The 27,030-nt window shown below is 39.9% G+C and overlaps 3 long non-coding RNA genes and 1 pseudogene across 15 annotated transcripts in view, besides 2 other annotated features; 2 read left to right on the top strand and 2 right to left on the bottom strand.

Moving 5' to 3' along the window:
• The window catches only part of LINC00539 (long intergenic non-protein coding RNA 539), a 41,348-nt gene extending 36,306 nt beyond the window's left edge, over positions 1-5,042 (top strand). For both annotated transcript variants that reach the window (NR_103841.1, NR_103840.1), the window contains one exon: positions 4,734-5,042. This is a non-coding gene — a long non-coding RNA (long intergenic non-protein coding RNA 539). The remainder of the gene's footprint in view (positions 1-4,733) is intronic.
• The window catches only part of MIPEPP3 (mitochondrial intermediate peptidase pseudogene 3), a 94,799-nt pseudogene extending 84,370 nt beyond the window's left edge, over positions 1-10,429 (bottom strand). For both annotated transcript variants that reach the window (NR_046461.1, NR_038939.1), the window contains exons 1-2: positions 10,192-10,429; positions 6,936-7,135 (exon numbers count right to left, since the gene is read on the bottom strand). The product of NR_046461.1 is annotated as a mitochondrial intermediate peptidase pseudogene 3, transcript variant 2 (transcript). The remainder of the gene's footprint in view (positions 1-6,935; positions 7,136-10,191) is intronic.
• Positions 10,088-10,167: an enhancer, noted in NCBI's record as "active region_7435". NCBI's record gives its function as "activates an Ori minimal core promoter by ATAC-STARR-seq in GM12878 lymphoblastoid cells {active_cell/tissue: GM12878}" and the evidence as "EXISTENCE:reporter gene assay evidence [ECO:0000049][PMID:35858748]".
• Positions 10,430-10,462: 33 nt separating the features above from the next.
• Positions 10,463-25,067, top strand: LOC101928764 (coiled-coil domain-containing protein 144B). 10 transcript variants are annotated; one of them, NR_172129.1, is made up of 6 exons: positions 10,463-10,710; positions 12,392-12,523; positions 14,899-15,051; positions 15,763-15,894; positions 20,728-20,919; positions 21,032-25,067. It is a non-coding gene; the product is annotated as a coiled-coil domain-containing protein 144B (long non-coding RNA). The 10 variants fall into 10 exon arrangements; NR_172130.1 differs by lacking the exon at positions 10,463-10,710 and adding an exon at positions 11,398-11,479; NR_170115.1 differs by lacking the exon at positions 12,392-12,523 and having other exon boundaries at positions 10,463-10,528; positions 14,899-14,975.
• Positions 10,658-10,757: an enhancer, noted in NCBI's record as "active region_7434". NCBI's record gives its function as "activates an Ori minimal core promoter by ATAC-STARR-seq in GM12878 lymphoblastoid cells {active_cell/tissue: GM12878}" and the evidence as "EXISTENCE:reporter gene assay evidence [ECO:0000049][PMID:35858748]".
• LOC105370105 (uncharacterized) overlaps positions 15,786-27,030 on the bottom strand; it is a 32,756-nt gene continuing 21,511 nt past the window's right edge. The window contains exon 4 of the long non-coding RNA XR_001749768.3: positions 15,786-15,873. This is a non-coding gene — a long non-coding RNA (uncharacterized LOC105370105). The remainder of the gene's footprint in view (positions 15,874-27,030) is intronic.

Below are 27,030 nucleotides of genomic sequence, written 5' to 3'. Positions count from 1 at the left end.
AGACCTTAGCTCCCTAACCCAGTGGTTCTCCAACTAGCGAGTGCTCAGAATCACCTGGAGCGTTGGTTAAAACAGCACTGGGACCAGTCCCGAGTACTCCTGGAATACAGCCTGAGAATTTGCCTTTCCAGCAAGTCCCCAGCCTGGCTGAATGCCATTCCCAGCCCACCCACCCCTGGCTCCACTTTCTCTTGTACTAGCTGATATCGGAAATTCCACCGAGAGCCCCAACCCAATTTAGCTGGGAAGCTTTACTCTTATTAAAAGGTACATACACGAAACAATATTAGCAGTTAGACTGTATCTTTCACGTCTTATCCTTCTTTATCATTCCCGTGTCTCCCTTGCTGTATTGCGTGCACAAGTTCACACGTTTGAGGAACGAAACTTCAAACATAGTCTGTACCAAGAGGCTTTACTCTTTTCTTTTTCCTCTCTACCCCTTTCCCCTAGAGCTTGGTCAAGATGTCCTAATGGTCTAAAATGTCAAAAGAAAACTAGATGAGGAAAAAGTAATAGAAAATAACTCTATTATAAGCTTCCTTATAGTTCAGATTCATCTCTTTCTTGTAAGAACCACCCACCAGTTCCTACTCAGAGACTCAAGGATACTCCTGTTCCTCAGTTGGTTCAAGATAAAAACACTGAAGATTTACATCAATCGAAGGGTTTCTGTTACCATTCACATGGGCCTTCCCGAATGCTAGTGAAACGTAGATAGTCATTACCCATCAAAAAACACTCACCAAGAAGGGCCAGACTCCCACACATGGATCCCAGAAGTCAGGGAGAGAGTGAGTGTGGAGGCCTACCTCCTCCCAACCTGCTCACCCACGGAGCCACTCCATGGCAAAGGAACAGTAGCTCAGAGGCTGCCCGCACTGCCCCCACTGCAGAGGTTTAAGGAAATCTCCCAGTAGTATGTTTTATGTTGGAAGACCCTGAGATAAAGCCCATACTTCAGTCTGTATTTGTCCTCCCACAAAATGAAGAGTGCTTGTCCATGAGACCAGCCCACGTCTAATTCGGCAGGACACAGCATGCAGAGAGCCTCGAGCAGGCAGCCCACTGCTGACTCCTTCCCAGGGGCCTTTCCCCGAGAGGCAAAGCTTTCTCCCAGGGAGTCCCCACTTTCAGCCCTGTCAGCATGCCCAGTGTCTGCACTCTGCAGGGCCCCGTTCTGTCCCATTACGCAAGTTGGTTTTCAGCGGCTATGGGGAAAGTCACACACGATTGTGCCAAAGTGAACAAATGTTGGCGACCTGGGGAAAAGCAGCAGCTGCACATCCTGAAGCGTTGGGTCTTCCAAGGAAGCCTCGTCTAACCAGAGAAGCCATCACTCTCCTCCTCCAACAATTTCTGGCATATGAAATTGTCTTATCGTGTTACCCCCTTTTCCCTGTTGTAAATCCACGCTGGCGAGCCCAGGGCTCTCCCTAGCTCTATACACTGCCTGGCATGGTGCCATGCAGCTAAGTGTGTTGGAATACAGCGCTGTCCACCATTCAGTTATTTTAACAAGCACTATGGAGCTCTTATAAGTGGCTTAAAAACACTCACATTTACCCCAAAATCACTTTAAAATAATTCACTCCATCACAGCCTCAGCCAGAGCCTGCTCCAGCTCTCCCACAGACTTTCACAGCCTCCCTAGACTCCCCTAATTCCAACTCAACAGGGACCACAAGGACACTGTTTATAGAGCGTTTTGGCTTCTCGCCCCGTGGCCCACAGCCATTGATGCAACAGCAATTTAATCAAGCGATAATCTAGTAAGTCCAACTTGCCACTAGGACACTAAAAAGCCCTTATTTAAGGTAAGTGATAATGGTGATGACAAGAATCCTGGGTGTCTGTCATCTCAGATTATCAAGTGACACCTTTACATTGATCTCATTTAACACTCACAAGGACCCTGAGGCAGGGTTAACTTTATGACCCCATTTACAGAGAAGGAAATGACTGAGAGAACAGACAACCAGCCCTGAGGCCCAGTGCCTGCCTGCAAGGTGAGCCAATGGCCTGTCCTGAGACCTCCCTCCGGCCACCCCTGGTCACACACACCTCCCACCCTGCTGGGCGGGGGACAAGCACTATGGACAAAACTGCCTACGGCACAAGTCCATGAAACCGGATCACCCAGGACTTGGCACGGAGGTGGGGAGGGGAACAGCACATACTTCTCTACCATGGTGCCAATACTTCTACAAGCTTCTTCTGCGACTTCCCTGAATGCTGGCTCAGGGTGAGCGATTTTCACAAAATCAGCCTAATAAAGGGGAAAGACGAAACCAAAAGGGAATTTGATGGGAAGCTTTCTTCCAGGATCTGGGGGTGAAAATGAAAACTGGGTTTTAAGATGTGCCATTGGCTTGGCCTATGCATTTCCATTACTGACTTTTTCCTAAGCGAGTAAAGCAAAGCAGCTGCTTTCTGAACATTTATTTAATTCTGTTATTCCTTGAAACCAAGTTTGTTTCTTTCCAAAAAAAATAATTTTATTAACTTTGTTTCAGAAAAGTTTTTCTCCTTCAAATATAAACACCAAGCAAATTCTTCCTAACCCTTTATTAAATCAAAAGAGCAGACACTGGTTTCAAATATTCTACAACTTTCTGGCTAAAATTCTTTGCAGTATGGTTCTCACAGGTTAACCTAGCTCCAAAAAACAACTCTTAGAGGCTTGTTTTCTTTAACTGACACATAGTATAGTTTCAAAACTCATTTAACTACACTTTAGTCTTTAACTACATTCTAGTCTTTGTGCAGAAAACAAAGGCACAGTCTCTTTAGTCCTTTTAATAAAATATGAGTTCAGTCTCCATGTAATACTGTGTACAACTACTACTGCTGCTGCTACTTAAGTCATTAGAAATTAAAATGAGCAACAATTTTTTTAAAAAGATAAAATGATGTAAAACTAAATTTTCGTTTTCATGTCAATTGTAACAAAAAGCAGAGAAACTACAAAACACTACATATTTTATTTGCCAAGAAGATGTGTGACTATAACATGAAATAAAATCACCACAAGGTAAAATTTCCTGATTTTATTATCAAATAGTTTTTAATGCCAAAACATTTAAATCCATAGTTTGGTATATTTGTTGTAAGAATTGGTAACGATAAAATAACATTAGTACCAAAGTATCTGAAAAATGAGTTACATAAATTTACATTTTTTTTTTTACAAATTACTAATCTACATGTGAATTTATAATCAATATTAAAATTCAAAACACTAGCATGCACATTAACAACTGATTTCTAATAGTGATGAGGAAAACAGTTCTGTTACGTAAAAACTGTGTTGAAAACAAAGAAAACAAAATGACTATTTAGTGAAAAAGTTTATAAGACGATTGCCTTATAATAGTACCAACATTACTGGTAGGTAACATCTCAAAAATTCAAAAAGGAGAAAGGTTCTTTTTTACCCGGAGAACTACATATATAAATCACATAGTTTTTTTTTTTTTTTAAGTTTTCAAAATGAGATATTATACATAATATTAAAAATGTCAAAATAAGATAAGATACAGGGCAGAAAAGTTAAAATATTTTAGTGAAGACCACAAGCAAAAATGTAGAAAAAAATCCTAGAATACTGATTAAGATGAAGACTAAGACAACAAATACACAGTGAATTCTGGGATTTGTGACAGCCATGCCAACAGTCACCCCTCAGTATCAGTGGGCAATGGTTAGATCTTCCTACAGATACCCAAATCCACAGATGCTCAAGTCTCTGATATAAAATGGTGTAGTACTTGCATATAACTGACGCACAGCACACTCCATACATCAAATCATATAACTGACACACAGCACAACCCTTACACTGAATCATCTCTAGATTACTTGTAATACCTAATGAATGTAAATAATATGTAAATAGCTGTTACACTGTATTATTTCATGCAACAGCGACAAGGAAAAAAGTCTGTATGTGTTCAGTACCGATGCAATTTTTTTTTCCAGATATTTTTGATCCAAGGTTGGTTGACTCTACAGATGCCCGAATCTGGAGGGGTTGACTGTACTTGAATAGTGAAATTCACTGACACAGATTTTCCTTTTCTGATTTCTGTGACACAATCAGGTGAACAGGGTATGAAACCTCCTTTTGGCAGTGCGTTCCACAGCTCCCCCATCATTCAAAGACACATTTCCTATGCACATACGGGAGGCACAGAACAAAAACCCAGCACAACAGAACTACCCAGAGCCTGCAACTTCACTCCAGAGAAAAACCCTTTACAATAAGATACTTTATCAGTTTCCTTAAGAGCGGGAGGCTTGTGGTGAACATATAATCATCTGAAAGGTGTTAATGCTCAAATCAGGTGTATGGGTGGAAGGAAATTTTCCAAAAAAGGAAAAAAAATAAAGATGGGGATGAGTTATGCTGGGTGAAAGAAGTCAGTCAAAGGTATACAGGATTCCACCTATGTGACATTCTAGAAAAGGCAAAGCTATAGGGAGAGAGAACAGATTAGTGGTTGCCAGAGGTTAGTCGGGGGGGGGTGTGGCTATACAGGGAGATTTTTGGGGGTGGATGGAACAGCTTTGTATCCTGATTGTGGTGAGGGCTGCACAAATTTATACGAGTTAAAATTCATAGAACTGTACCATCCTCCAAAAGAAGTCAATTTTACTGTATAATAATTTTAAAAACAAGTATACATTTTTTTTAAAGATGGAGAGGCTAACAAACTTTGCAACCTTTCCAGGTAAGGATTCATGAGACCTGAGCAGCCAGCCAGCCCTGAAATGGTTGGAACAGGAGAAAGAAGAAGAGCTCGACAGATACCCTGCCTGGGCTGGCAGCTAGCTGCACCACAAGCTGGCCAGCTGACAGCGGGCACATCCCTTCATCACCCAGTGCCTTTCTTCCCTCTTGTGAAAATGGAGATATGCTGAGAAGGTTACTTCAGCTCATCCAGAGAAAGCTTCTTCAGCTAACTAGGCTGTAGAAAGGGCCTACAGCCTAAATTTTCAAAAACAAGTTAATGCCAGAATATAAACTCCGTGAAGTAACAGATTGTGTCGGTTTCATTCCTGCATGTATCCCTGGTGCCTAGACAGTGTCTGGCACACAGTAGGTGCTCAACATTGACTGAATGTGAGGGAAAAACCTATGTAGTTCAATACTATGTAGACAAGATCATAAATGATCACTATTTAAATTGTGTGTGTTTTCCTTGACATGAGTAACCAAGAGTCGGCTCCTTCAGGCTGATAGAAAATCCTGCTTCCTGGAAATGAGCAAATAGAAGAGATATCTGCATTTCCATGGTTGTTGCAGCTCTGTTCACAACATCCAAGATTAGGAAGCAACCCAAGTGTCCATGAACAGATGAATGGACAAAGAAAATGTGGTACTTACAATAGAGTGCCATTCAGCTATAAAAAAAGAATGAGATTATGGCCAGGCATGGTGGCTCACACCTGTAATCCCAGCACTTTGGGAGGCAGAGGCGGGTGGATCACGAGGTCAAGAGATCGAGACCATCCTGGAAAACATGGTGAAACCCTGTCTCTACTAAAAATGCAAAAAAATTAGTTGGGCATGGTGGCGCATGTCTGTAATCCCAGCTACTCGGGAGGCTGAGACAGGGGAACTGCTTGGAACTCAGGAGATGGAGGTTGAGCTGGGACTGCACCATTGTACTCTAGCCTGGGCAACAAGAATAAAACTCCATCTCAAAAAAAAAAAAAAAAAAAAAAAAAGAGATTGTGTCATTTGCAACAACATGGATGGTCATTAAGTGAAATAAGTCAGGCACAGAAAGACAAACATCGCATGTTCTCACTCATTTGTGGGACCTAAAAATACACACAATTGAATCATGGAAATAAAGAGTAGAAGGATGGTTACCAGAAGATGGGTAGGGTAGCAGGGTGGTATGGGGGAGGTGGGGATGGTTAATGGGTACAAAAAAACAGGAAGAATGACTAAGACCTACTATTCGATAGCACAACAGGGTGACTACAGTCAATAATAATTTAATTGTAGATTTTAAAATAACCAGAAGAGTATAATTGGATTGTTTGTAACACAAAGGATGCTTGAGGGGATGGACACCCCATTTTCCCTGATGTAATTATTATACATTGTATGCCTCTATCAAAACATCTCATGTACCTCATGAATATATACATGTACACACAAAAATTAAAAATAAAAAAAGAAAAAGAAAATTTTGCTATCTCAGCAATGGATTTCCTAGTTGGTGAAGAGATCTAGGTATACACTTCTATTTCAAATTTAAAATGTTAAAAAAAAAAGTCTTTACAATCATTTTGATGTGAAAACTTGGTTTTTAATTAAAAAAAAAAGCATTCCTGAAAAGGTTTATGAAAACTGGTTTTCACACCTCTTATGAAAAAGAAGTGGCTCACACTTATAATCCCAGCACTTTGGGAGGCCAAGGCAGGAGGTCACTTGGGGCTAGGAGTTCAAGATCAGCCCGGGCAACACAGGGAGACCCTGTCTCTATTAAAAAAAAAAAAAAGATAGAAAAAGAGGAATTTTGTTGTAAATGCACACATAAAGTGTTCTTAGAATTTTGGGAGAAGCTTTCATAAATAAAGAATCTCTGTCAAATGAATATATATGTAAATATATATTACCCAAATATAGCAAATATTTGCCATATCAGTAATCATTCATTCATTATATATTACAGGTATATTTTATTAAATACACATATTAAAGTACAAGTTCTAAATGTCACCTTTTCCTATAACATTTTCCCCATTCCTAATGATGTATTTCATCACAAAAAATTATACCCAATGGATCTCAAATAGTTTCAGACATTTTTAACTTTATAATCTAATATTAACAGTAAACAACAAAGGATAAATTTCACTTAAATTTTAACAGGTTGAAAGAGAGGTAGCTTCAAGTCTGAGGCAAAGCATCTTACCAAGTCGGTCACTCTGCACAAGGAATCCGAGAGCTCATCAAGGATCAGCACGGTCTGGGGCCCAGGTGGGGTGGAACACGCACGGTCCACAAGCAATTCTGTCTTTCTCAAGGCTTTTTCTTGTGCAGTATGAAATCCTTCATATTTCATATGAAGTATGTGCCTTCTGGGGCACTGAGCTCAGGAACTCCAAAAAGACCCTTAGAACCAAGGAATACGTCCAATTTACAACCAAAATTCAAAATTGTGCTTTTTAAATATTTACTAAAATTACTTTTGTCACAAAGCAAATCTTGACTTTCATTGGTATATCATGTTATACCTGTGATCACGAACACCACTATCATACTCCTCATATCACCCCACATAAATTACACCAAAAATGATTTCATAACATCATTTTTAATTTTTTTTTTGAGACGGAGTCTCACGCTGTCACCCAGGCTGGAGTGCAGTGGCGTGATCTCAGCTCACTGCAACCTCCGCCTCCCGAGTTCAAGCGATTCTCCTGCCTCAGCCTCCTGAGTAGCTGGGATTATAGGAGCGCACTACCACGCCTGGCTAATTTTTGTATTTTTAGTAGAGATGGGGTTTCACCATGTTGGTCAGGCTGGTCTCCAACTCCTGACCTCAGGTGATCCGCCCGCCTCAGCCTCCCAAAGTGCTGGGATTACAGGCTTGAGCCACTACGCCCGGCCAATTTTTTTTCAATTTTTAATTATTTTTCCGAAAAACAAAAACTGAATGGTATGGGTTCAAAATCCAGCTCTGTCACTTCTACAGAACCTAAGAGTGGCCACAAGGATTAAATGAAATAATATATATATATATAAAGCAGTGTTTGGCACAGAGCATTTACAGATGTTAGCCATAATTATTATTAGCTTATAACCCTGGTCATGTTATTTCTCCTCCTAGGCCTCATATTTTTTTCATCATGTACAATGGGAATGACGATACATACCTTACAGCATGGATACAGGTACTAAGTATATGTAAAGTACTAACAGCAGCATCTGACAAAGTGAGATCTCAGTACATAGTACCAATTATTCTACAACTATCAGAGAGGATGAGTTCACTATGAAGCAATAAATATTTTAGAAAAATTTAATGAACATATTAAAATCATAGGCTGAAACTGGGAGCAAATTTTATACGTTCCAAAGACATTTCAATATCTTGATAAAAACAAAAATCACTGATCTAATGGGAATGACCATTCTTTTGTTACCTATTCAATCCCACTTGTTAGCACACTCAGGAAGGCAGGGAAAGAAAGCATTTAATATGCACCTACCGCATACCATGAAGTGTACCTGCTACTTTACATAGGTTCTCATTTAAATCACACAATCCTACAGAACAGAGTATCATTCTTTCACAGATCAGGACACATGCTTTAAGAGGTTAGAAAAAACTTGTTTGAGGTCACAAATTAATATTGGGAAAGACAGAACTCGAACCCGCTCTGTACATCTGTAAAGCCCACACTTTTCCATACTTCTCTATTACAATTTATCTGTTTGAAAGTCTTCTCTCCTGAAAAGGTGAGCTTCCAGACCCAAGAGCCCTGCCCTTCATTTCTTTAACCAGCTATCCAATAGAATGTCTAACACATGGGGGAACTCAATGAAAGAAACAAGTGACCGGAGCAGATGCTAGGCTTTGTTAATTCACTTTGTAGGTGCTTAACACATAGATTTTCAGAAATACCAACAGGTAAACCTTCAGGCCTGACAAGCCCTACTGTTTCTACAAGAAGGGATGGATGAAGTTAAGCTAGCAATCTCTCTTCAAAATATATTACAAATTAAAAAAAAAAAAAAGAAAGTCAGTGGGGGACAAAGCAGAATCAGAACCAAACACAAATGTCATCTTTATAGTGATTTAATTTGATTCAAGCACAGACTACTTCCACTTCCCAGTACAACCTGCCCATATTGTTCTCAGGAATTCTAACTCTCGGATTACCAGTGACCGTAATGCTAAAAAACTGAATAAACCTTTTTTTTTCAAGGCAAAAACCAACTCTAAAATTTGAAAATCTGCTATTAGTGCCGAATATCATGATACAAAAGAGAAAAATAAAGCTAAAATTAGTTATATCTCATCTACCCAAAATCAGGCTTCCCCTCACGTCTTTCTGCTCAGCGCCTACAAGTAGTTCTCACACCAACTATGTTAATACCAACACTACATACCCTTAAGGAAGGTGGTGTAGCAAATTTCACACAAAATAATTTTAAAATCGACAAAGCTGATAACGGAGATAAAACAAGAATTATACACCCTTTAGCTCAGTGCAACAATACCCCAGACTCCTCTTTATAAGGCAATACAGTATAATGAAATTTTAAAAGGCAAAAATAAAAGTAATCCTTAACTAAAATGGACAAAATGTACAAACTCCAAGTAGAACAGGCATCAGGTAAGTCCTTTCCAACTTTGCCTTCCTCTCACCTTTCATTCGCTCACTGAACAATTACTGAGTGCCTACTGAATGCCAGGTACGACACTAGGCATGGTACATATAAATAAGAAGCAAACAATGCAGTCTAGTGACTTCCTGGGGTAAGAAATCAAAGTGGCCAATTCCATGGCACTATATGAAGTCAGACTCGTCTCAACAGAGTTTTGTGTCTTAAAACAAGAAAGCCCAAAGCTTTGAAATAAATTAATAGGTGATGGAATTTCAGGTATCAATTAAATTACTATTACTTGACTGCAGGCAGCCTTGTCCTTGGAAAAAGACCATGTGATGCCGCCTGTGAAGGCACAGGTATAAAGAGGCCTCTTAAGACAGGCCTGTAGCGATGGAGCTAAAGGGCTTTAGCCGGGGTGCCGCTGAGTGTAGGCAGAGGGCGGGTCCTGGCAAGCCAAATTCACCGCCACTGCCAGGACGAACTATTCAGATTCACGTGGAGCAAGGGGCTAACGCAGGCAGTTCCTAGATCCAACACTCTGGGGAGAAGACCACTAAACCCGGCCCCTCAAAGCAGAGGTAACCTTGCCTGTCACTGAGAGCGCACACAAGACCCCACTGTACAAGTTGGGTTCGCTGCCTGCCTCCTCCCAGGCCCAAACAATCTCGCTCTGAGTGTCGCTGGCCGCGCGGAGCAGGGGCCGGCTTTCTTCCGGGACCTAGGGGAGCTCCTCCTGCGCCGCTCACTCCGCGCTCGCCAAACGGGTCCAAGCGACTGCCCTGGAACTTGACATTGAAGGCGGCGCCCACCGGAGACGAGCTGGTGCTCACCCTTCGGGCCGGATCCCGGCTTCAAGGCTGCCCCGACCCGCCGCCTGCGCCGCAGAGCCGCTGCTCTGGCTCCGAAGCCGCCCGGCTTTTTGGCGCACAGCGTGGTATCCCGCAGAAGTCCTTTCCTCCACCGTGAGAACCCTGTCCTGGGCGTAGCAGCCTTTACCTGGAGCGCGCGCTCTGCGTTTCCAAGGCAGCGGCCCACGCTGCCCCACGTGACGGCCCCGCCTCCGGGTCTGGGCGCGGCCTCGACGTGGGCACGTCGGCGTCCAGAGCAAGAGCGTCGCTCCCACGCTTTCTCTGCCGCCGTCGCTGCATAGCGCCTCCTGTCTCTAGAGTAAGGAAAGGCTAGGGTTGCGCTTCCCTCCTGCTGTGACTGGGGGCGCGGGGGCAGGCAAAATCATGACATAATCGAATTCCAGTGGACATTATTTTGTGAGAGATGGTAGGTTCTTGAGTAAACAAGAAATGCCCACCATAGGCCTGAAGGAGAAGTTTCCCTTTTAACCTACTCTCTTGGTAAATTCATCCTGCACTTCTAACTCTAGTTTCTCTGTCGGATAACTTGTTTTTACTCTTGCATAGCTCATTTAAAAATTTTAGATGGAAAATAGTGAAAGCAGTCTAATGGGATTTTCCCTGCAGGCTTTCAGACTTACTTGGGACCCATGATCCCTTTTTTCCTTCCCCTTTCTCTCTTTTGGAATGGACTGTCTGTCCTATGCCTGCCCCTGGCCCCCACTGTCTTTTAAAAGCCAATTAACTTGTCTGGTTTCACAGGATCACAGATGGAGAGAAATTTTGCCACAGGATGAATCACAGTAGGTCTCCTCTGTAACTTAAATGATGTAGATGGTGAGAAGAGTTGATGTGGAAAGTGTTAAGACTTTTGGAAATGTTGACATGGGGCGAAAATGTATTTTGCACAGGTGAAGGAAATCAACTTTGGGAACCAGAGGGCGGATTGTTACGGGTTGAGCTGTGTCTCCCCAAAAAGGTGATGAAATCCTAACCCTTGGTACCTGTAAATGTGACCTTATTTGAAAATAGGGAGTTTGCAGATATGATTAAGATGGGTCATACTAGATTAGGGAAGCTGTCCTTGTAAGAGGAAAATTTGGCTGATACAGGAGGAGGACAGCCACCTGAAGATGGAGGCGGGGACTGGAGTGATGCTGCCACCAGCTGCCAGAAGCTGGAAGCAGCAAGGCCGGATCCTCCCTTAGCCCCTTTGGAGGGAGCACGGCCCAGCTGCTGCGGTGATCTCAAACTTCCAGCCTACAGAACTGTGAGAAAGTCCATTTCTGTTGTTTAAAGCCTCCCAGTTTGTGTACTTTATTAGGGCGATCCTAGAAAACAAGTAGAGATTCAAGTCTTATTATTTTAATAATAAGATATTGATTTGTTGGCCCACAGTTTGAAAAGATGCTGAATTACGGGAGGGACAATCAGTAGTTCTAATGTTGGGATATAATCAGAAAAATTAACCTCTTATTCCCCAGAATTTCTAAACCAATAGGACTCAAGACAAATGAATGTGATCCTAGGTTAGAGTGTGAATGGAATTTACATTATGTATATACGTAGAAGAGCTGGATATATAGTTGTTTAGTTTTTTATATAATACCAAATTATATTTCAGAGATACTTATTTTTGTGTTTCTTGGAAACTTAGACAAGTTATTTTAGAAAAATCCTAATGATTTTTTTCTCTTCACCCACTCCCTTCTCACTAAAAAAGGATTGCTTCATTGTCATGAAAATTAAATCTAGAATCCTAAAAAAAAAATCAGAATTCTTTTTTAACCACTCATTTCAAAATTACTAAAAACATTAAAATTATCAGATTTTATTGAACTCATAATTAAGCAGCTGATCATTTGGTAAACTTTGGATAAACTATTTTGCTAGTTTTACTATACCTTTTGAGATACTGTTTCAAAAGAGAAAATATAAAGAATATAAGCATAATCCCAATTAGAAGAGTCAACAGGTGCTGCTTTCTGATGCAGGGCAGTTCAATCATTATAATTCTAAATTACAAACCCTTTCAAGTCTGGCAGAAGAAAATGAATTGCCAGCGCATTTTCCTTTTTCTGCTTCAATTTTTAAATTATGAAGTACAAAGAGGATTTTTTTTTCTCTTTATCTTTAAAGATGTTTTCTTTTTCTTTTCAAAATTTGTTCTCTGTGTTTCCAGGTGCAGCAGTTTTTCCTGTTAGCCTTCGCATGTTAGTTGAGCCCATCAGTCCCAGACTTCTCGGACCCTGAGAGAACTTACGGTTCTTGTTCCAGTAGAAGAAAATAGCTAATCATTTGTTTGATTTGACCTGTATGATGTGATATTGAAAAATTGGTTACTAACACTTAAAAGTCTTGGAATTTCATAGAAAAATACAGATTTTTTAGTTCTTTTGCACCTTCCTGCATGGCAGTAGTCTGTGGCACTAGGCTATGATAATACAGGCTTTTCTCAGCGAGGAATGGGCTTGCTGGCTTAATGACATTACAATCACTCCATTTTCTTTCATATTGTCCTTGCTTCACTCGTTTTCATTGCTTGTCTTAGACCTGTAAATATTCAAGGTTTTGTAATGCCTTGAGTTATACAAACCAAATTTCTTAGAATTTAAAAAATTCAACATTTATCTTAAATATTTTAGTTACTGTTTTCTCATAGTATACTCGCTGGACGGTGGTCAAGTTTTCTCATTCACATTTATCTTTTCCTGTCACTTTAGACTTTCTTAGCATGCAAAAAAATTCAACTTTTTAATATATTTAATTTTTTTGTTTTTTTTTTCAAAGAACTAAATTCAGTTTGAACCTTAAAAGGAGAAATTAGGAAATGTTTTAGAAAAAATTTTAATTTTTTTAGTGTAAACATTATAAAAAGCATGTTGACATTTATGGGATAAAAGAGACCAACAGGTTTATTTAACATTTTAAGTTTTTTCTGACTTTATTTTTCAGTTTACTACATAGTTATAATTTTGTTTCTGTTTTAGCAAAAGGAATCATTTTACTTCCAAGAAAAACATTTTTTTGCTAAAAGTCATGTTAAAATATTTAGAAGATTCTTGTTTCATGTAAAATCTGCTCATTATAGAAAGACATTTAATATTTTACAATTAAGTAGCTAATCAGTTTTGTTTTCTCTTCTCTTGGATTATATGTGATTTATTTCAAATATATATTGTGCTTTACATAGAGAATAATCTGGGGACAACTTTGAAGCTCTAGAGTAGTTCATTAAATTATAACCATTATATGGAAGAAAATACAAGCTCCTTTGTAGAAGATGCTATTTTTTATATTGCCTCACTAACTTTGTTACTGATTCAGTGATACCTATCACTTGTTTTCTCAGCTTTGTTTGTAAATTAGATAAAAGTGAATGCCTGAAGTGCTAAGATCATCAAGAACTAATGACTCTTGATAGTGAGAGGTAGGAAAGTAGAAACAGAGTGAATAATTAGACTCCAAATAATTCATAAATGTAATTTTGGACACAAAGTTATGTTTATTCTGTAAGCAAATAATTCAGAGTGACAGCAAGTGAGAGAGAAGAATTGACTTGTTTTAATTTCTGATAACAGTAAATGGTAGGCCAAGTTTGGTGGTTCATGCCTGTAATCCCAGCACTTTGGGTGGCCAAGGTAGGCAGATCACTTGAGGCCAGGAGTTTCAGACCAGCCTGGCCAACATGGTGAAATCCTGTCTCTAACAAAAATACAAAAAATTAGCTGGGCATGATGGCACATGCCTGTAGTCCCAGCTTCTTGGGAGGCTGAGGTGGAAAGATTGCTTGAACCCAGGACGCGGAGATTACAGTGAGCTGAGGTTGTACCACTGCACTCTAGCCTGGCCAACAGAGCAAGAATATCTCAAAAAAAAAAAAAAAAAAAAAAGAAAAGAAAGAAAAAAAAGAAAAAAGGAAATGGTGAAATGGCCCAACATTTGCAAAAAGAGAGGGATGAAGGACATCTATAAGTGGCTCCCAAATCCCAGAGAATTCATGGTCTCTGCGATTAATATTTTGCCATACTTTTACTGTCCTTTGTTACCACATTTCCTAGGTGTAGATTTAGATTGCTGGTGTTCTCTAAACTAAAATAGATTGTTATCTCAGTTATCATGCATATTGCAATGACATAGAAAAATATAGGAAATTATTTAATCTGACAACTACAATGAAGATAAAACCAATAGAAAGTCAACTCGAAACAGAAGGTCATCTAGCACATTTACTCACAATTTCTCTAAGTCCTAACACATATACCCTGTAAGTCAAAAAGAAAAAAATTCTTGGAAATAAATTGCATTGTTTTTGTTTTACTAAAGAAAATAAATTTAAAAGAATATGTCTGTATTTTAATTGAAACTTCTCAGGAACAGAAAGTCAAATCCTGCTTGTTCTCACTTACAAGTGATAGCTAAATAATGTGTACACATGAACTTCGAGTGTGGAATGATAAACACTGAAGACTTGGGAGGCTGGGAGAGTGGCAGGGGGTGGGTACTGAGAAATTTCTTAATGGGTACAATGTACATTATTCGATTGATGGATGTACTAAAAGACTAGACTTCACCACTACACAATATAACCATGTAACAAAATTGCACTTGTACCCCTTAAACTTATACCCCCCAACAAAGAGTGTGCCTATTTTTTTTCAATTGGATGTTTCTCTTCTTTTCCTCAAGGGCACTGGCACTAGCACACAGAGTTGGCATGATCCATCGGGAGACACGTCCTGGGAGCCCCACAGCTTCTGACACAGGTGGTAGTCTTCTCCACAGGTGGCCGAGCTATCCTTGGTGTGGACTCACGATGGAAACCTTGGAAGTGTCTCCTTGGTGAATCACTGGAATTCTTATAACCACTGACTCTCCGGGTTCTTTGGGTTCAGTGACGTTAAATTTGGTTTCTCCAAATTTAATAAGTCTCTAAAATTGTGGAAAACACAGACAAATGAAATTGCTAGTAAGGGGAATGCTTTTCCTCCTTTTCTATGTTTGTTTCCATGTGGGAGGGGCTTAATAACTATTACACTCCTGGCTTCTGTCTCCTCCCTCAAAATTAGGGTATGTGTGGAAGGAAAAGCTGGCATGTGTTGCCCAGCTCCTTCCTGGGACTTAACCAGCCCCCAGAGAGCATGTGCTCCCAGCTGTCCCTATGTGCCATAAAGTACATGTGAACAGGCCATGAAGGTGGGTGGGGAGGGAGGAAACTGTTGGTACCCCTATACCCAAGGGTGTGTATAGAGGAGAGGGCAGGTATGGATGTTTGGGATTCAGTGTTCAGATATAAGCCATATTCTCCAACATCAGCTTTATCAGTTTTAATGGTTTATTCTGTTTCCCATTTGCTTTGTCTTTTTCGTATTTCTCAATTGCTTAAAAACCCTAGTCAGAAAGCAGGGGAGGGGTGGCGGGTTTCTGAACCCCTTAAAACCTGGATTTGGATGGATTTCACTTCCCAACTTACAGCTGAAGCACAAAAAATGACTTCTTACTATCAGCATCATCTTGGATCCTTGAGAGTTTCTTTTTGTTCACCAACTGCAGCCCCAAAGGGAGAGTTGCTTTGTGGAGTGTCGAGTACCAGGCGGAGCTCCTCTACTGCCTCATAGAGCACATCGTCCATGAGCTCAAGGATGCAGGGGTTTTCAGTCTCACCTGGAAGAATAACGTCAGCAGGTCAGTCACATCCCATGGGGATATACCTACAACTAGAATGTGAGCACCGTTAGGGCAAGGATGTTGATTTTTCCTTCCGTATCACTGGAAGAAATAGAGTTTGGCATGTAATAAACCTTCAATAGGTATTTGCTGAATAAGTGAACAAATGTTTGAATATGTGCAATGACCAGCCCTTATTTGTATGGGGAATTTATTTAATATCTATCTTTAAGCTCTGCTGCTCATCTTAGAAAATAAGGGGAAAAAAGCAAATGCCAATTTTGTTTATGAATTTCTAGCATTACATTCAGAAAGCAAGATTAGTAGCCTTGCACTGGTTGGTCATTGTTAATTTGACCTCAGTACTAGTTTCTAGTATTATTAACTTTTGACTTAGTAGACAAATCATTGCACCAAGAACCCTGCCTTACGTTTAATTCCCAGCACAGTGTTTTCTGTGTGGGCCTACTGTGCTCCGAATTGTGTCTTTGGAGATTTGACAAGGTGTGTCTTTAAAAACTGCTCTTAGTTAATACATGTGTGATTCAGTGAAAGAAAGCCGCATGTCGTACATTCTTTGTGTGCCATGTGTTGCTTATAGCCTTTAGGGCTGCATATGCATATCTTCTTGGAAGCGCTAACGTGGCTTCAAAAAAATTTTCCCCGAGCCTGTACAAAATGCGTTTTTGAAAAGTGATCAATGTCAACATCTTGAATTCAGTGAAAGAAAACAGGACACCATCTGGGTTTTTGGCACAAAGCTTGCATTTACTTTTTAAGACTAGATACATTTTCTGTATAGGCCTACTATGCTCAGAATTGTGTTTTCTGAGGTTTGACAGGATGTGTCTTTGAAAACTGCCCTTAGTTAATACATGTTGAATTCAGTGAAAGATCACGGCAAATAATAAATTATTTTTGTGCCATATCTTTCTTTTAGCATTTAGGGCTTTATGTGCATATATTCCTGAAAGCACTAACTGAGGTTTGAAATACTTTATTCTGAGCTTGTGCAAAATGTGTTTTTAAAAAGCGATCAATATCAAAATATGTTGAATTCAGCGAAAGAAAAGACCACGGCATGTAGGATTTTGGCACAAAGCTCGTGTTTACCTTTCAGGGCTAGATACTCACATTTTCTGTGTAGGCCTACTGAAAAGCCAGGGCTGCATGAGTACGCTCAGACAGTTGCAAAGTGGTTCCACTCTCTCACCTTGGGGTTCACTCCCATTCCCACTATGTCCGCTGTCAGCAGGAAGAAGCCAGAGTGATCAACGGCCTTTTCCCATCTTCATAGCCTGCACCTTAAGATTAAGGTGTTATAAAACTCAAAGGGAGGGATTGAAACTGCCTTTGCAAAATTATGACTGAGACAGTGAAAGAGATCTAACCTGACTCCGCCTTGCTTGTAACCTCCTTGTTCATTCCTGGGTGTAGGCTGAACTAATGTTGGGAGAAACTTAACTTATAGTTTAAACAAAGACGGTAACAGCCCTTTCCCAAAGCAGACCTCTTTCTTGCCTGGGAACTAGATTGCCTTTCTAGGACTAACATTAGCCACAAGATTAGAAATTGTGCTTTAGGAGTCATGTAGCTGGAGGCTACAGGATTCTGACCCTCCCTAAACTGAAATGACTGGAAAGTAAATTATAAACAACCACATCAATACCATGTCCGTAAAGCAGAGACAACATCAAACTTCATTACAGAAGCCAAGCCCGACCCAAATCAAGGTCATTGGAAGCTGTGTACCAAGCACCCTGGTGAGAGTCTGGATGCTGTATCGGCTGACATACTAGTATTGCAAGTGTCATGTCAGTCTTGGGGGTGTCAGTATTACGGGTGTCATATGAGTCTTAGGGACGTCACAGCAGTCTTGCAAGTGTCATAGAAGTATTGCGGGTGTCATATCAGTATTGCGGGTGTCATATCTGTATTGCGGGTGTCATATCTGTATTGCGGGTGTCATATCAGTATTGCGGGTGTCATATCTGTATTGCAGGTGTCATATCAGTATTGTGCATGTCATATCTGTATTGTGGGTGTCATATCAGTATTGCAGATGTCATATCAGTACTGTAGATGTCATATCTGTATTGCGGGTGTCATGTCAGTATTGCAGGTGTCATATCAGTATTGTAGATGTCATATCTGTATTGCGGGTGTCATGTCAGTATTGCAGGTGTCATATCAGTATTGTAGATGTCATATCTGTATTGCGGGTGTCATATCAGTATTGTGGGTGTCATATCTATATTGTAGATGTCATATCAGTATTGCGGGTGTCATATGAGTATTGTGGGTGTCATATCTGTATTGTAGATGTCATATCAGTATTGTGCATGTCATATCTGTATTGCGGGTGTCATATCAGTATTGTGGGTGTCATATCTGTATTGCGGGTGTCATATCAGTATTGCGGGTGTCATAGCAGTATTGCGGGGGTCATATCTGTATTGCGGGGGTCATAGCAGTATTGAGGGTGTCATATCTGTATTGCGGGTGTCATATCTGTATTGTGGGTGTCATATCTGTATTGCGGGTGTCATATCAGTATTGCGGGTGTCATATCTGTATTGCGGGTGTCATATCTGTATTGCGGGTGTCATATGTGTATTGCGGTGTCATATCAGTATTGCGGGTGTCACATCTGTATTGCGGGTGTCACATCTGTATTGCGGGTGTCACATCTGTATTGCGGGTGTCATATCAGTATTGTGGGTGTCATATCTGTATTGTCGGTGTCATATCTGTATTGGGGGTGTCATATCTGTATTGCGGGTGTCATATCAGTATTGCGGGTGTCATATCAGTATTGGGGGTGTCATATCAGTCTTACAGGTGTCATCAGTATTGCAGGCATCACATCAGTCTTACGGGCATCATATCAGTATTATGGGTGTCATATGAGTCTTAGGAGTGTCATATGAATCTTGTGGGTGTCACATGAGTCTTATGGGTGTCATATCTGTATTGCGGGCGTCACATGAGTCTTATGGGCATCATAGCCCTCTTGCAGGTGTCATCTGTATTGTGGGCATCACATCGTCACATCAGTATTGTGGGTGTCACATCAGTCTTATGGGTGTCACAGCAGTCTTATTGGTGTCACAGTAGTCTTGTTGGTGTCACATCTGTATTGCGGTATCACATTTGTATTGGGGTGTCACATGTGTATTGCAGGTGTTATATGAGTCTATGGCTGTCATGTCAGTATTGTGGGCATCATATCGGTCTTACGGGTGTCATATCAGTATTACAATATGTCATGATATGTCACACCAGTATGACACCTCTTCCGAAAACACCCTCACAGACATACCTAGACATAGTGCTTTAGCAGCTCTCTGTGTATCCCTTAATCCAGTCATGTTGACACCTAGACTTAACTATCACAGTAATTCATGGCAAAAATTTTAGAATTTTTAAACATTGTATAATGAAAGCTGGGCAACATAGCCAGACACTGTCCCTACAAAAATATTTTTAACAATTAGCTGGTTGTGGTGGCACGCATGTGTAGTTCCAGTTACTCTGGAGGCTGAGGTGGGTGCATCTTTTGAGCCCAGGAGATTGAGGCTGCAGAGCTAGGATCGTGGCACTGCATTCCAGCCTGGGCAACAGTGTGAGGCTCTCTCAAAAACCAATCAGCAGTACTAATATTCTTAGGAATAAATTTAACCAAGGTACCAGACTTGAACATGGAAAATGTCAAAACATTGCTGAAATAAATTCAAGAAAGCATAAATAAATGGAAAGACACTTCATGTTCATAAACTAGAAGACACTAATTTTTAAGATGGCAGTACTACACAAAGCAATCTACAAATTTATTGCAATTCCTGTTAAAATCCCAAAGTCCTTTTGGCAGAAATCCACAAGCTGATCCTAACATTTACATGAAATTTCAAGGGATCCAGAATAGCCAAAATAATGTCAAAAAAATGACCAACTCAGAGGCTCACATTTCCAAATTTCAAATCTTACTACAAAGCAACAGCAATAAAAACAGCATGATGCTGGCATAAGGACACATGTATAGATCAATGGAACTGAATGTTGAGTCCAGAAATAAACCCATACTTCTATGATCTTTTTTTTTTGGCAGGGAGACTCACTCTGTCTCCCAGGCTGGAGTACAGTGGCACGATTATGGCTCACTGCAGCCTCTATCTCCTGGGCTCAAGTGATCCTCCTGCCTCAGCCTACCAAGTAGCTGGGACTACAGGTATGCACCACCACACCTGCCTAATTTTTTTATTTTTTTGTAGAGGTGGAGTCTTGCTATCTTGCCCAGGCTGGCTTGAACTCCTGGCCTCAAGTGATACTCCCCTCTTGGCCTCCCAGAGCATTGAGATGATGGGTGTGTGCCACCACGTCTGGCCTGTTGATTTTTAAAAATGGATTTTTTTTCTTTTCTGTCTTTTTTTTTTTTTTTTTTGAGGCAGGGATTCACTCTGTTGCCCAGGTTGGAGTGCAGTGGTGTGAACACGGCTTACTGCAGCCTCAACCTCCCAGGTTCCAGCAATCCTCCCTCTTCTGTCTCCCGAGTAACTAGGACTACAGACATGACCCACCACACTCAGCTAATTTTTAAATTATTTGTAGAGACAGGTTTCCTTGAGTTGCCCAGACTGGCCTCAAACTCCTGGGTTCAAGCAAGCCTCCAACCTCAGCCTCTCAAAGTGCTGGGATTACAGGCATGAGCCACCACCTCCAGCCTGGAATCGTTTTCATCATTACATTCTGATGTTTGTTGCTAGTGTCTAGAAATACAACAGATTACCATGTGTTGACATTTTGTGCTGTAACTTTGCTGAATTTATTCACTAGTTTTAATAATTGAATAAGGAGGAGCAGCGAGGACGGCGTGGGCTGTGGAGCCGAGCACAATGACAGCGCCTTCCTGGAGCCTGGGTACGACGTCTGCCTGGAAGATCTTGGCGATCTCCACAGAGCTGCCTGGAGGGGCATAGTCCCCAGAGTGGAGCTCATTCTCATGCTCAGGGACCCTGGCTTGGACAAGAGAGACAAGAAGAAGAGGTAATGGGCCGGGCGGGGGCTGGGAGGGTGGGGAACTGGGAGAAGCCCTTTCCCTGGGGGATGGGGTGGGTTGCGCCCTCCTGTCACCGGCCCAGCTTTCTCGCCCCCGCAGGTCCCGCAGCACCTGGGATGTGGAATCCCTGGAGGAGTCACAGGGCCCAGGCCGCTTCATGAGCCCCCAAAACGAAAACCACACGCAGCCGTGATTTCCCTATTTCTCCTGATTTCCCTCTTTCTCCTGATTCCAACTGCATCTTTATATCTAAAAATTTTTGGCTTACCACACGGGGAGCTAAAAAAGCAACTCTTACCTGATATGTACTCAGAGGTGCTCTGGGTTTTAAACTGTCCATCACACAAGCCAAACCAGGCTCCACAAAACAGGAACAAGGAACCTAAGTAGTTCCATTGTTTTGTGCTCAAAAACATGGGGTGCTGTATCCCGAGTTCTGAAGCAACTGAAATCTATGTTGTCACTTGCAATACTAGTGAGAGGATGACTGGAGTAAGCTATTTTGTTCTGCAGCAGAAGACTCTTGTGATCAAACTGATACCTTAGGTAAACTGTTGGAGTTATTTTCAAACCTTCATAAAAGCATGGCCAGTTAAGGTTGTGTCCAGATTCAAATAGAGTTTGTACCAGGTCAAAAAGAGTCTCGTACTCTTTATTTGGTTGTAGAGAAGAGAAAATTAAGTTTCTTTACCTATGACTTCTCTCATGTTTCTCTGGAGGGCTCTCTTAGAGACTATTTCAACAAATATGACATTTTCCCTTCCTTTGGCTGCGGTTGTGAGAGCCTGGATGAAACCAACTGGCTCTGGAATGTTCCTGTATCAATATTTGCCAGTAGTCAAATCTTCACAAGCTGTTTTTCCTGTTGTTATTGAAATCAGCTCCATTTCTGGCTCCATCCTCCCCAAATTCCCAATGCTCTCTTTAATGTCTTTGCACACTGGATCCATCATATAATTGTGATTAGCAGCTGGAACTGACAGAATATATGAAAATATCCTGCTTTTCTCAAACTGCTGAGCCACCTTTCATGACACTTGGCTGTAGCTTCTGCCTCTCCTGACAGGATATAGGAGCAAGGACTGTTAAAGGCTGCCATGCACATTCTTCTGGAGAAGGACACTACAGCCTTCGAGATTTCTGTTCTCGGAATCTATAAAGGCTCTAAAAAATGAAGTATATATCTTTTAAAAATAAAAAATAAATAAATCATAACTGCATACAATTAGATCTAGTACATACTGCACTATTGTAATGATCTCATAGCCACCTCCTGTTGCTATTGCAGTGAACTCAAGTGTTGCAGGTATCCACTTAAAACGCCAAATGATGCTCATCATCTCCACAGATGCAGTTCGTCTTGCCAGCAAATCATGTTTCATAGTGAAAGTGACCTCTTGTGGTACTCATGTAGTTTTCTTTTTAAAATTATTTGTATGAGGCATAGTAGGTATATATTTATAAAATACATGAGATATTTTGACAGAGGCATACAATCAATGCATAATAATTATATCAGGGTAAATGGGTATTCATCACCTCAAACATTTATCATTTCTTTGAGTTACAAACATTCCGATTACACTGTTTTATTTTTAAATGTACAATAAAATATTGTTGACTGTAGTCACACTGTTCTGCTATCAAGTAGTAGATCTTATTCATTTTATCTAACGATATATTTTTTACCCATTAACCATCCTCACTTATCCCCAACCCCCATTACCCTTCCCAACCTCTGGTAACCTTCATTCAATTCTCTATGTTCATGAGTTTCATTGTTTTAATTTTTAGCTCCCACAAATGAATGAGAAGTCTTTCTGTGCCTGGCTTATTTCCCTTGACATAATGACCTCTAGTTCCTTCAATGTTGTTGCAAATGACAGTATCTCATTCTTTTCTATGGTTGAATAGTGCTCCATTGTGGGGGTGTGTGTGTGTATATATATGTGTGTGTGTATATCTCACATCTTCTTTATCTGTTTGCCTGTTGATGGTCACATAGCTTGCTTCCAAATATTGGTTATTGTGAATAGTGCCGCAGTAAACTTGGAAGTACCAATCTCTCTTGGACATACTGATTTCCATTCCTTTGGATAAATACCCAAATGCTCTCTTTAACATCTTTCCACACTAGATCCATCATATAATTGTGCATAATAGCAGCTGGAACTGACAGGATATAGAGAAATATGCTGCTTTTCTCAAACTGCTCAGCCACCTCTTCATGATACTTGGCTATAGCATCTGCCTCTCCTGATGGGGTACAGGAGCAAAGACTGTTAAAGGGGGATTGCTGGATCATACGGCAGTTCTTTTTTAGTTTTCTGAGGAAGCTCCATGCTGTTCTCCATAGTGGTTGTACTTATTTACATTCCCAACAACAGTGTATGAGGGTTCCCTTTTCTCTATATCCTTGCCAGCATTTGTTGTTGCTTGTCTTTTGTATCAAAGCGCTTTCTAGTGGGGTGAGATGTTATCTCATTGTAGTTTTGATTTGCATTTCCTTCATGATCAATGATGTTGAGCACCTTTCTATATACCTATTTGCCATTTGTGTGCCACTGTGTGCCTGTTTGCCATTTCTTCTTTTGAGAAATGTCTATTGAGATATTTTGCCCATTTTAAAATCAGATTATTAGATTTTTTTTCCTATTGAGTGGTTTGATCTCCTTATATATTCTGGTTATTAATCTCTTGTCAGATGGATAGTTTGCAAATATTTTCTCCCATTCTGTGGGTTATCTCCTCACTTTGTTGATTGTCTCCTTTGCTGTGTAGAAGCTTTGGAGTTTGACATGATTCTATTTGTCTATTTTTGCTCTGGTTTGTGCTTCAGGGGTATTACTCAATAAATCTTTGCCCAGACCAATGTTCTGAAGTTTCCCAAATGTTCTCTTTCAGTAGATTCATAGTTTGACATCTTAGATTTAGGTCTTTAATGCATTTGATTTTTTGTGTGTGATGAGAGACAGGGGTCTAGTTTCATTCTTCTAAATATGGATATCCAATTTTCACAGCACCATTAATTGAAGACACTGTCTTTTCACCAATGCATGTTCTTGGTATTTTTGTTGAAGTGAGTTCCCTGTAGAGGTATGCATTTATTTCTGTCCTCTCTATTCTGTTGCACTGGTCCATGTGTCTTTTTTTTATGCCAGTTACCATGCTGCTTTGGTTACCATAGCTCTGTAGTATAATTTTAAGTCAGGTTATGTAATTCCTTCAGTTTTATTCTGCTCAGAATGGCTTTGGCTATTCTGGGTGTTTTCTGATTCCATCAGAAAGTTTTAGGATTATTGTTTCTATTTCTGTGAAGAATATCACTGGTATGTTGATAGGGACTTCATTGATTCTGTAGATTGCTTTGCATAGGATGGACATTTTAACGATATGGATTCTTCCAATCCATGAAAATGGAATATTTTTTTCAATTTTGTCTCCTCTTCCATTTCTTGAATCAATGTTTTATAGTTCTTACTGTAGAGGTCTTTCACTTCTTAGGTGAAGTGTATTCCTACATATCTTATTTTGTTTGAGCTATTGTAAATGGCATTAGTTTCTGATTTCTTTTTCAGATTGTTCAATGTTGGTATATACAAGGGCTACTGATTTTGTATGTTTATTTTTTATCCTGCAACTTTACTGAATTTGTTTATCAGTTCTTAGGGAGAGTCTTTAGGTTTCCCAAATATAAGATTATATCATCTTCAAACAAGGGTAATTTTACTTTTTCCTTTCCAAATAGATCCCCTTTGTTTCTTTCTCTTGTCTCAATGCTCTAGCTAGGACTTCTTGTTTTTTTCATCATGTTTAATTTAATAGTGTAAATCATAGAACCCAAAGAAAGTACCACTAGTGATGCATAAAGTGCTTCCAAGAAGCAGAGAAATAACATAACAATATAAGAAAAAGCTGATTTGCTTGATATGTACCACGGTTTGAGGTCTGTAGCTTTGTCTGCATTTTTAGAAAGATGATTCATCTCAGAAACACATGAAGTAAACTTATGGTATTGATAAATTCAGTACAGTACTGTAAATATACTTTATCTTCCTTATAATTTTCTTAACATTTCCTTTTCTCTAGCTTACTTTTGTACAAATATGGTATATAATACATAAAACATACAAAATATGTGTTCATTGACTGTTTATGTTATGGGTAAGGCTTCTCATCCATAGTAAGCTATTAGTAGTTAAGTTTTGGGCAGTCAAAAGTTATATGTGAATTTCTATGATGTCCCTACTCCCCAGATTGTCCAAGGGTCAACTGTACTTAAAAAAAATTAGAATGAACCATGTGGGATTGAATTGAAATAGAAAGTATCAGCAAAAACTCATGGTTTTGAATATATTTTGACACTGAAATGTGGATTAATGTAAGCATGTATGCCTGCGTATTTATGTATATCCATATATTTCTCTGCTTTGTTCATGGAGTAGGTCTCTGAGCAATGACAATCCCAATGCAAATATCCACACCTACCTCAACTAGTGGCCAGAATTTGGTTTCTAAATACCATTCTCCCCCAGAAGAAATCTAGTCTTCTAGGAAAATAGCTGATTTCAGATCTGGGGCCGAGAAATAGATGATAAGCTTGGAACATTGTGTGCCATAAAATAAAGAAATATTTAAACGATGGCAATGAATTGATGTCCAAAAGACATGAAATCAGCTTGAAATGGTGACCACTGGCTGAGTCTGGGAGTATTTGAGCACCAAAAGAATATTTTCCCTTCTCCCCTGTTTATTGCTTTTGTTTTGTTTCATTTTTTAATCCATGTAGAAGGCATGACAGAATAAGAAAATCATCATGTGGCCACCATCATCATAATTAATTCAAGTAAGAATCATAAAGCAGCCAGGCCCAGTGGCTCATGCCTATAATTCTGGCACTTTGGGAGACTGAAGGGAGCTGATCCCTTGAGCCCAGGAGTTAGAGATACAAGCCTGGGCTACATGGCAAAACCCCATCTCTACAAAAAATACAAAAATTAGCCAGGCATGATGGTGCATGCCTATAGTCCTAGCTACTTGGGAGGCTGAGGTGGGAGGATTGCTTGAGCCTGGAAGATTGAGGCTGCAGTGAGACAAGATTGTGCAAGTGCACTCCAGCCAAGGCAATAGAGCAAGACCATGATCTCCAAAAATACATACATAAATAAATAAATAAAATAAAAGGAAAAAATCAATGCAATGCTAAATCTAGTGGGTGAAATTTTGAGGAGTAACTGGAGATTTATACAGCCACAAAGTATTGCCACACAGGATATTGGTGAAATACAAAAGGTAAACAGTAACTTTACTATGGACAAATCTGACTGACGAAACTCCTTAACCAAAGAATCAAAGTCAACACTGGCCAGCAATGAAACCAAGTGACAGCCTACAGACATGCTGCATTCGGAAGAAGTCAGCATTACCTGTGTGACATTCCTGCCTCAGTGACATAATCTGAATCTAATCATGAGGAAACATCATATGAACCCAAACTGAGAGAAAAATCAGTAAAATAAGTGACCCATACTCTTCAAAAACATGGATGTTATGAAAATCAAAGAAAGAGTACAAAACTGTCCCAGATTAAAGGAGAATAAAGAAAGAGGACAATTGGACTCAACACATCATGAATTGTAAAAATCTCCCATCTTGGATTTTCTTTGGCTATAAAGGATATTATGGGGAAAATTGGCAAAATCTTAATAAGATCTGTCGATTATATATTAACATTGAATCAATTTCAATTTCTTGCTTTTGATAATGATCACCATAGTTATGTAAGAAAATTCCTTCTTTTTAGGAAATATATAGTAAAGTATTTAGAAATAAAGAGGCATCATGTCTGTGACTCACAAATAATTCAGGAAGAAAAATCTATATTATGTACCTATATTTATATTTGTCTAGAAAGAGAAGAGGAAAAGAAGGAGAAAGAGTAAAGCAAATGCAGTAAAATATTAAAATTTGGGATATGGAACTCAAGACTTTTTGGTCCTATTCTTTTAATTTTTCTTTAAGTCTGAAATTGCCAAAACAGAACATGTCTAAAAAGAAAAACAAATTTTTAGAAATATTAACAAATTATATCCCATTGT

Source organism: Homo sapiens, chromosome 13 (genome assembly GCF_000001405.40).
Source record: "Homo sapiens chromosome 13, GRCh38.p14 Primary Assembly".
Lineage (NCBI taxonomy): Eukaryota > Metazoa > Chordata > Mammalia > Primates > Hominidae > Homo > Homo sapiens.
Note: the sequence above shows the minus strand (reverse complement) of the source record. Positions and strands in the feature narration are given on the sequence as shown.